General features: G+C 34.1%; 1 protein-coding gene across 2 annotated transcripts in view; it reads right to left on the minus strand.

Moving 5' to 3' along the window:
- TMPRSS11F (transmembrane serine protease 11F) overlaps positions 1-10,871 on the minus strand; it is a 76,672-nt gene extending 65,801 nt beyond the window's left edge. For both annotated transcript variants that reach the window (NM_207407.2, XM_011531935.2), the window contains exon 1: positions 10,812-10,871. In NM_207407.2, the coding sequence (NP_997290.2) occupies positions 10,812-10,822 (11 nt within the window). In that variant the 5' untranslated portion in view covers positions 10,823-10,871. The remainder of the gene's footprint in view (positions 1-10,811) is intronic.
- Between the last annotated feature and the right edge of the window lie 213 nt (positions 10,872-11,084).

Raw genomic sequence — 11,084 nt, forward strand, 5'->3', positions numbered from 1 at the left:
AGTTATGCAAAGAAAAAGTTCTTTGAGTAAATTAAAAGTGTTATTCCAGTGAATAAACAAATGATAAGAAAGTAGAACAGATTTATTGCTGATACGGAGTAAGTTTTGTGGGCTGGATAGAAGATCAAACCAGCCACACACAACATGTGTTAAGGCCATAGCCTAATCCAAAGCAAGGCCCTAACTCTCTTTAATTCTTTTATTCTATAAAAGCTGAGAGAGGTGAGGAAGCTGCACAGAAAAATTCTGAAGCAAGCAGAAGTTAGTTCATGAGATTTAAGGAAAGAAACCATTTTCATAACATAAGAGTGCAAGGCAAAGCAGCAAGTGTTGATGTAGAAGCTTCAGCAAGTTATCCAGAAGATTACTTAAGATCCCTGATAAAGGTGGGTAAACTAAATAACAGATTTTCAATATAGGCAACTTTCATAGCTAGAGAGGACAAGTCAATGCCTAGCTTCAAATACTGGCTGACCCTCTTGTTAGGAGCTAATACAGTTGGTGACTTGAGGTTGAAGCCGATGCTCCTTTCCATTCCAAAAATTCTAGGGCCCTTAAGAATTATGCTAAATCCACTTTGCCTGTGCTCTATAGATAGAAGAACAAAGCCTGATGACAGCACATCTGTTTACAGCATGGTTTACCAAATATTTTAAGTCCACCGTTGAGACTTATTGCTCCAAAAAAAGAGATTCCTTTCAAAATATTACTGCTCATAGACAATGCATATCGGGTCACCCCAGAGCTCTGAAGGAGATCAATGTTGTTTTCAAGCCTGCTAATGGGAGTCTATTCTGCAGTCCACGGATCAAGGAGAAATTATGACTTTCAAGTACTGTTATTTAAGACATACATTGATAAGGCTATACCTCTCATAGTAGTAACTGAAAGCCTTCTGGAAAGGATTTACCATTCTAGATACCACTAAGAACATCTGTGATTTATGGAGGGAAGGTCAAAATATCAAAATTAACAGGAATTTGGAAGAAGTTGATTCCAACTCTCATGGATAATTTTGAGGGGTTCAAAACTTTAGTGGAGGAAGTAACTGCAGATGTAATGGAAAAAGCAAGATAACTAGATTTAGAAGTGGAACCTGAAGACATGACTCAAATGCTGCAATCTCATGATAAAACTTGAACAGATGAAGAGTTGCTTCTTATGGATCAAAAAAGAAAGTGGTTTTTTGAGATAGAAACTATTCCTGGTGAAATGTTTTCATATCAACACTGTTGATATGAAAAGAAAGGATTTGGAATAATACATATGCTTAGTTGATAAAGCAGTGGCAGAGTTTCAGAGGACTGACTCCAACTTTGAAAAAAGTTCTGCTCTGAGTAAAATGCTATCAAACAGCATCACATGCTACAGAGAAATCTTTTTTTTTTTTTTTTTTTTTTTTTTTTTTGAGACGGAGTCTCGCTCTGTCGCCCAGGCTGGAGTGCAGTGGCGGGATCTCGGCTCACTGCAAGCTCCGCCTCCCGGGTTCACGCCATTCTCCTGCCTCAGCCTCCCAAGTAGCTGGGACTACAGGCGCCCGCCACTACGCCCGGCTAATTTTTTGTATTTTTAGTAGAGACGGGGTTTCACCGTTTTAGCCGGGATGGTCTCGATCTCCTGACCTCGTGATCCGCCCGCCTCGGCCTCCCAAAGTGCTGGGATTACAGGCGTGAGCCACCGCGCCCGGCCGAGAAATCTTTATTGAAAGAGTCAATTTATGAAACAAGCTTCATTGTCTTATTTTAAGAAATTGTCACAGCACATCAGCTTTCAGCAATCACCACCATGATCAGTTAGCAGCCATGAATATTAAGGCAAGACCCTCACCAGCATAAAGATTATGACTCACTGAAGTTTCCAATGATTGTTAGCATTTTTTCATCAATAGAGTATTTTTCATTAAGGTATGTGCCTCTCTTAGATATGTTTTTGCACATTTAATAGACCACAGTATAGTGTAAACATAACTTTTACATGCACTGGGAAATATAAAAAATTTGTGGCACTCACTATTGTGATATTCACTTTATTGCAGTGGTCTGGAATAGAACCTGCAATATCTTCAGGGTGTGCATGTATTAAGTCTCACCTCCCCTTCTATATGACCCACCCAGTTGGCTGGATCCATACTTCTTAGGTCTATTCTTTTTTTAGTTCTATGAGATGTCTCAATGGCCTCTCAATTAATTCTGTTTTTTAAAACTCAAGTTCAATTGTTTCAACCAAAATAATTTTAACCACCCACATCTAACAGCCCATAAAATGTTTCTTAAGGAATCAAATTCTGTTACTTGTGACTGAGTATGCGAAAACACCTAAGGAGACAAAAACAGAATTAAAATAGTGACTGAAAAAGAATTCATAAAGTGTCCAGTACACTCTCTTCTGAAAAATATGTTATATTACTTGTAGATGTTGAATATTTTTGGTATGCTATTCCTAGAAATAATTCAATATTTTGTCTCCTATTCAAAGTTATATTAATTGTAATACATTTGAATTTATAATAAACACCAGTTCTATTTTATTTTATATATATATAACATGGAGGCTAAACAGAATGTGCTATGGTTGTGCAGTTTCTGACAAAATAAGTAACTAAATACATAAAAATAAATTTTAAAACACAGTTGTTTTCAATAAGCAGCCAATGTTCTTCACTTAGCTTCCTGTATGATTGATTTAAATATTTGTATTTCAGTGGTATTTTGCAATCCAGTTCAGGGGGAGGAGCTATGATGAAGATATAATTGTCCTAGAGAGATGTGATCAACAATGTTCACAGCTAATATAATCTGCATATTAAATAAACAAAATTAACATGTCCCAGAATCTGCCTGTCACATTTCTAAAGGGCCATGTGTGAAAGAGTTAATCGGTATGTTACAGTGCTGCATATGAAGACCTTTGAGAGCTTCTCATTCTTGGAATGCTCCCTTCTAATGCCAAGTGGCCTTATCATTGCCCAATCAACTCAAAAAACAACCCAAATGCTATTTCTTAAGATTTATAATTTTTAAATAACCACTTTTTTTATTTTTGAATATTTGAGTATGTATTAAGTGATTCATTAAGACCTAATTAATTGTTATAATAAAATCACCTAATTCTCAAGATGTTTAAAAAGATATACCATATAGTATAGGATAACATAGAATAATTACATTTTAACTGTTGAGCTTTAAAAGAAAAATACCTTACAAACTGTGTGTATAGTTAAAACAATGTAAGTATTAAACTTTGTGTAAAAATACCTAAAATTCTATTATTGAATTTCATATTCTGATAGACCCTACTTTTATTTTGATAAGTGGATCAATAGAAATTTACTTCTCTATTTGCATGAAAATCCATTAATTTATTATAGTACTGTATCTGGCTACAGATAAAATTCTGAAAAATAATTACAGCCAGGAAAAAAGCTTATTTCATAGCTGTATGAATGATAATACCAATATTTCATTAAGTATACCGAGGGATTTGGAATCTAGCTTTCATGTATTGTCTCCTATGCAGTTAAACATTATAAATGAAACAATAGTTTTCTCAACATTAGCATATGAATCAAAGAACATGCAATTCTAATAGGTAGATTCCATCCTAAGTAATGTTTATGTCATTTATTCTAATGCATAGATAACACATAATTCAAGCAGATAAACCACTATCAGGCATCTATCTAGAACAACTCCTAATACATGCCTGTTGAATGAAAAACTTCATCTTACTTGACATTTATTAAATTACTTCCAGAAAGGCAATCACGAATATAGAACACTTTATTTTTATTAGTTTAGACATATGCACATTAATGCTGCCTGAATTCCTAATACACTTTAAAAAATGTTTTTGAGGGAATGTTAGAATGACGCTTTAGTCTGAACTCCGACTTACCATTATCAGAAATAATACCTACTTCAGTTTATTCAAGTTGGGAAGTGAGGTAAGAACATAGTCACAGTTGCCTTTACTATGTTCCTTGATAATGAACTGCAAGTCTATCTTAGCCATCCAAATTTCCAGATAATGCTCTAAGAGAGTCAGAGTAAATAAATCCCCACAATACAAAAGAAGAGAGCAGCTAATAATCCATTATCTTCTGTTGCCACAGTTTCGTTATAAGTAATGTTTCACATTCTTCTAAAAGCTGCTGTCAGTAGGAGAAATATGGTAGCTAAGCAGCTAAATGAATTAAAATGAGAAGAAATTAATGGTTTTGGCAGTTTTGAAGAAGTAGTACACTGACTAAATTCTTGCTGCTCTTATTAGATCAAAAAGTAAAGAACACAAGAGCAGTCCTAAGCAAGAATTAGTTGCCCAAAAAGAATAAATCATGAACGTCAAGAAATCTAAGTCTATGTCATCTAAAGAGGACACATTCCTTGAGTTAACTTTACTGAAAAAGATTCTGCTCATTCTGTGAAAAAGTGAAGGTACTCGTCTCAACCATTTTTACCTGATAATATCCGAAGAGCCCAACCACAATATCCCATGAGTTAATATTTTTTAAAGTGATATGATATACAAGCTATGAAACAAAATAAATTGATCTTTCCTTTACCTAGCAGAAATCATGGCCAAGTACCATCCAAAGCAACTGAAGTTTGAGATTGGAAATTAAAGTATAATCTGGGCCTACTAACCACCACAAAGCAAGACGATTATGGAAAATGAATGATAAAAGGGAGGGGAAGGTAGGCAGTAGGGCCACAATGGGACAGGAAATGTCCCACTGATTTGCTAGAGAGGAGAGATAGATGATACTGCTGACGTGGTTTCAAGGTGGTGTCTATGCTAATATGGCAAACCCAATCCTTAACAAGACAAGCCTCTACAATCTATTCAAGTCTATACATATGACTGAAATAATGAATTCAGTGTTAAAGATAGGAGCATCACAAATAACTTATATTTAATCTATTTTTAAAAACCTTTATCAAGGTCGGGCACGGTGGCTCATGCCTGTAATCCTAGCACTCTGGGAGGCGGAGGCAGGTAGATCCCCTGAGGCCAGGAGTTTGAAACCAGCCTGGCCAATATGGCGAAACCCCATCTCTACTAAAAATACAAAAATTAGCCAGGTGCGGTGGTGCACGCCTGTAATCCCAGCTACTCGGGAGTCTAAAGCAGGAGAATCACTTGAACCCGAGTGGCGGAGGTTGCAATGAGCCGAGATTGCACCACTGCACTCCAGCCTGGGCGACAGAGTGAGACTCTGTCTTAAAAAAAAAAAAAAACAAACCTTTATCAAGATAAAGCTGTAGGGGCCAAGGGCATGGTGCCTCGCACCTATAATCCCAGCACTTTTGAGCTCAGGAGCTCAAGAAAACCCCGTCTCTACCAAAAATACAAAAATTTAGCTGTGCGTTGGGGTGCGCCTGTGGTCCCAGCTACTCTGGAGGCTGAGGTGGGAGAACTGGAGAATTATCGTTTGAGCCTGGGAGGCAGAGGTTGCAGTGAGCAGCGATCATGACAGAGCAAAACCCGGGCGACCAAGCGGAAACTTCAGCCTTAAAGAAAAAGATGAAGCTGTAGGTTATTTTAGTTTTTATTGATTCATTGATTCTTTTGTTATTTGACATCAATGTATTGCACTAAAGGCCTCATTCATTTGGGGTCCTTCTGCCTGTTCAGGTTTATTTGCCTAATTATAAAAAGAAGCAGTGCAAAGCAAATACAACAATCTGTCAGTGGGCATAAGAGTAGTAGATATAAGAGTTAAGGCTGTTGTTTGGCACCTTGTAGATCAAACGATTAACTAGATTTTGTTTTTTTCTTTTTGTTTACAATAGTATCTAGACACACCCTACACTCCGTTTCGCACTGAGTTGTTTTGTTTTGTTTTTCTATTTTCAGAAGTGAATGCTTGCCAACTTGCTTTTATCTTATCTTACCTGTTGGAATGTGTCTTCAAAGTAGTTTGACATTCTAAGTATCTAAACCAGCATTTTTTTTTTTTTTTTTTTTTTACATAGTACAAAAGACTTTTCAATCCTTGATGCTTAGTTTTGAGAATCATGCATTGGGAATGCTGCATTGGTCATTCCATATATTATATTCTACAAAAAATAAAACAAGACCAGGAAAAGACTTCATAAACTTGAACCATATGAAATTGCCTGTATTCAATGGTTTTTTTAACTTACAAACAGGGCAATTTCATATGGTTCCCACTTGTAGATTATACTGTATATTTTTATGTTATATTTTAAATTATTTTTATTTTATATAAAGTACTGAATATGTGGGCTGCTCCCATCACCTGATAATAATGCTATATAAATTGTTGAATTCTTCAAAATACTCTACATTCAAATTTTGAGCAGTAATCAATCATTTATAAAATTTTCTAAATTTTGCAAAAAAAATAAAGACAAGTTAATAATACATTTTAAATAATGGCCAACTACAGAAAATTAGTTAAGAGTCAAAGTTTAGTCATATATGATACTGGAAGAAAATATAATACACAGAATCTGAAATAGTAAATGCAAACATCTCTGATATGAGTTTGAATTGAGTTTTGAACCTGGATTTTGAATATGAATGTTCCTGAAATGCTAAGTTGACTGTGCTTCATAATAAATAATGAACCCTTATAATGCTTGTACGATCCAAGGGTATAAAAACTTTCTTGCTATTTGTCCCTAAATATTCATTCACTACCCTAACACACCCAATCACACACTCCAAAGACACAATATCCTTTTTTAAAGACTACTGCAAATACCTGCTTAAAGCAACACAGACTTATCTTCTTGGTCAAGATACTGGTTTCCATGCTGTCTTCCTACATTTGTTTTATAGTGTTAAGAGGTCCTGCTTAGATCTTCCCAAGACTTCTTTAAGTGCAATGGGAAGCTATGCCAGTATTTAATGTTTTTCAAAATGCATTTCAGAAATTTAGCCTTCATTTTCCTGCAGATAAACAAAAATAGGCAGTAAAATGTTATCATATAAACTGGAGATCTACTTTTTAAAAAGCTAGCCATTAAAGAAATAAAGTGAATTAGCAACATTTTTTGGAAAAAGTACAAAATGTTTACTTCATACTTATCAAAGTCATAATTCATATATATTTGCTTAATTATTTATCACGTTTCCTCCTCTTCCTCCTATGGTGTTATAAACACCATAAAAGTAAGGATTCTGTTTGTTTTATTCATATATGTGTGTATGTGTGTATTTGTTTATATGCATCTGATATGTGTATATACACACAGGATATATACAAACACATATGTCTACATAGAATATATGTAGATATATACATATGTGTATAATGTGCTACTAGTATACTATAAGCTAAATTAAGTATTTGTTGTACTAATGAATAAATGAAACTTTAAAATCTAGTCTATAAGCATCTATCTGATGTTTTTATCTCTTCAACAATAAATCTCCATCAGCACCACAACTTAAGTTTACTTAAAGTACAGTCTCTAGTTTTCAGCTTTTTACTTACTTTCTGAATTACTGAATCTCAAATATCTCACAGGCCTTCTTTGAGAAGATATGTAAGATATGTGCATACATAGATACATAATAAACGGTAAAACTTGAAATTTTCATTTACTCCTAACCTTTCCTCTTTTCTCAGTATCTGTTCTTTGGTTTTAGCCATATGAAATCATAAGTCAATGTACAAATGTTGAGAGTCTGCAATGTGACAGGCAATGTGTTTGGCACTAGCAATAAAGGGAGGGAGCTCTCTGAGCAGAGAAATATAAATGAAAACAAATTAGCATACAAATAGAAGAGTGCCAATAGAAGTATACACAATGTGTTACATATGTTTGAAGAGAGGACGGCTGTACTTCAGGAACAATTAAGATGTGAAGGTAGGAGAAAAATTTCACAGTAACTTTGTTATATCTTGAAGGAAGACCATGGGGTCTCACTAAATGTCAGGAGGAACATCCATTGTAGGCAGACGAAACAACAAATACGTAGGCAGTCTCTCTCTGCCACGCCCTTCATTTAGTTCTGCAAAAAGTGACAGTAGCACCATCAAGCTGCACTGGTCCACTCCAATGGTTCTAAATTGCATTATCATTTTTTCCTCTTGCTTAAATCAACTTTTATTATGTAGTATGGAAATTTAACCTGGTGCAAAAGGCCCTTCATAGTCAGAATGATCACTTCAGCTTTATCTGACAACTTCCAACATCTATTTGTGAGTGTATCTCAAGTCTCATGACTCTTGCAAGGGCTATGTTCTCTCAACCCAGAATACCGTCTTTCTCCTACTACTAATTCTGCTTGCTTTTAAAAACTAAACACAGTTATTACGTATTCAAAGAAGCTTTTATGAAATTGAATGTGCACCCCTGTAGCAGCATGTCAGTATTTGTTTTTTCGCATTGATCACAACGTGCCATCAGAATGTGGCTTATTGATTTGCCTCATCACAAAGGTCTCAACTTGTTGATAACTATCTCTCTTATCTCTGCCTCACTTGCAGAGGGCACCAAATACAGGGACCCATGAAAAAAACTTGAATAACCTACAATGTGGGATACTTTAAATAGTTCTCTAGTGCCTTAAGAATGTTAATGTGTTCTCCATATTAACTAGCTATTAACTCTTTGAAATCATAGAATTAAGCATTCAAAAGGACTTCAGGGCTATCTAACCCAGTGTATTAAAAAATATTTTTGACCATGACCCACGGTTAGAAATGTTCAACATCAAGGCCTGGTACACATACTTGTATGTGTACTGTCTATATATGAATCTGAATCTGAATCATATATCCATAATACAATATTTACACTAATACTTAAGATACAGAAAAAAATAAAATTAATACAAATCTTATTTTATTACTATTTAAATACACCAACAACAAATGAACAATACCAAAATAAACCAAAGAATAAACCAATAAACCAAAAATTGCTTTTAGCTATCCACAAATATTACTTCAAGGCCCATTAATGGTAACAACCTCACCCCTCATTCATTTACTTATAAACCTTCCCCACATTTCACAGATAAAAGTGAGGTCTTGAGAAGTACCAGACAAAAGAGTTCAAAGTTGGATCTTGAACACATCTAAATGATGGTACTCTTTCTACTTTACCAAAATGAGAAAGACAGGGCTTTTGCTAAGAGGCCATAGTCTATCTGACTAATTCATTCTTTGAGACTAGATCCCTTGGGCAAAATACCTTTACTAATGAATTCAATAAATCCACTGTCTAAGCTTCTTATCTTTATACACAAGATATATTTTTTGACAGAATATTTGTTTTAAAAGCAGATCTGATTTGAAATCTAATTAGCAAGAATATTTTAAATCCTCCAAATAATAAATGTTTGAGATGATGGATATGCTAATTACTCTGATCTGATCACTATATATTACATGTACTGAAATAGTGCTATGTACCCCATAAATACGTAGAATTATTATATGTCAACTTAATAATAAAACCAAAAAATCCTCAGAACTCTAATAAACTCTGGATCAAAGCTGACGAGGCTTCAATATAGAAATTTCATGTTGTAATGATATTTTCAGGGTGGAAAAGTGAGTGTTTGGAGATGATGCCGTAAGTTGGGAAGAGAAGAATCAGGCTGATAAAAAACACTTACTGAAGAATTCTGAAATAAATTAGAATAAGAGAACTCCAAATTTTTCTAATTTTTTAAAGAAATTTTTAGCATATTATATTTATATGAATGTTAGTTAAATATAAAAGTTTTTTCTACTGTACGTTTTGTCTTATTCTGTCTTTATCTTGATAAATAAGAAATATACTTTGTTGTATTTAGTAAGAAGTACAGATAATATGCTATATCATGCTATCATGATGGGTTTATATGGGAGATTTATGCATGAAATGGAAGTCTTCCTTAGGCTTATGCTGTCATTTGAAAGTAAATTAGGGAGGGCAGGAACACTCATCATTTAAGAGTGCCAGAGCCTACAGGCTTTAAGTATTTAGGTTAATTGAAGACAAAATCAAATGACTGAACAATTAAAATTATCACAAAATCATGATTAAGTTGGAAACATCAGTCAGTGCAGAACATGTGGGAAATTTGTGTCTGTAGAAAGATCGAGAACCTTTTTAAGAAACAAGGCTAGACTTAGCACAAGTTTGAATGAAATCATCCATCAAATATCAATTATTCCTTTCGAAGTCTATAAAACAATAGCCTGAATATTACCTAAACATAAATATATAATACAAATTTATTTACCTTAAATTCAACAATTGATCAATTATTTTGGAGTTCAATTATGATGATACAAAGTCTAGATTTTGTTAATTTGATAATTTTTTACATATGAGTATTTTAATTTTAATCATTTCACTCATGATATACAAAATAACCTATCATAGTTTCTATTAGAGTTAAATAAAAATTCTAGTAGACTCTCCTCTTAAATTTATATTTAATTTTCCCAGAATATACATCAATAAGCAACATATGATAAAAATGTATACCATGCTATGGAACATGGAAAAGTAACTAAATGGGCTATATTAAACACTTTATTCTTTGAAGTGTAGGTTTTACTAAATGTTTTAAATATTAATATAGTTAACTTATTACCTCACATCATTTCTATTTCTTTTATTTAGAAACAAAAAACACCACATTGGCCTCTGTTGTTCAAAAAAATTCTGATATTTAAAAACAACAACAATAAAACTTTAATATAAAATACAATAACACACATTAAAACTCTAATGTTTAAATCAATCTCCACCAGCCAACATCTGTACTACCTGTCTCAGGAATTGTAAACCTCTGTCCCCACTGATAACCTTTACTGAGAAAAGCTGAATACTTACGCGTACATCATGAACCCAGGACTGGGGCAGCTTCTATTCAGTCACCATCTGATCTGTATCAGCAGGTTAGGACTTGGAGGCTGCAAAATAATGACAGTCACTGGCAACAAGAAAGGAAACAAGTTTGACAGGTTTAGTGAGTGAGGTATGCAGTCTTCTAGCCTGATAAGAACAAGAACATGATCAGTTTTGTGCCAACTGGCTCCACACAGTGAAGTAATTGTCAATATCCGCATAGAGAAGCTCCAAGTAGTAGAGGGCTCAGAATGTGCA

The sequence above is a fragment of the Homo sapiens genome, chromosome 4 (genome assembly GCF_000001405.40).
Source record: "Homo sapiens chromosome 4, GRCh38.p14 Primary Assembly".
Lineage (NCBI taxonomy): Eukaryota > Metazoa > Chordata > Mammalia > Primates > Hominidae > Homo > Homo sapiens.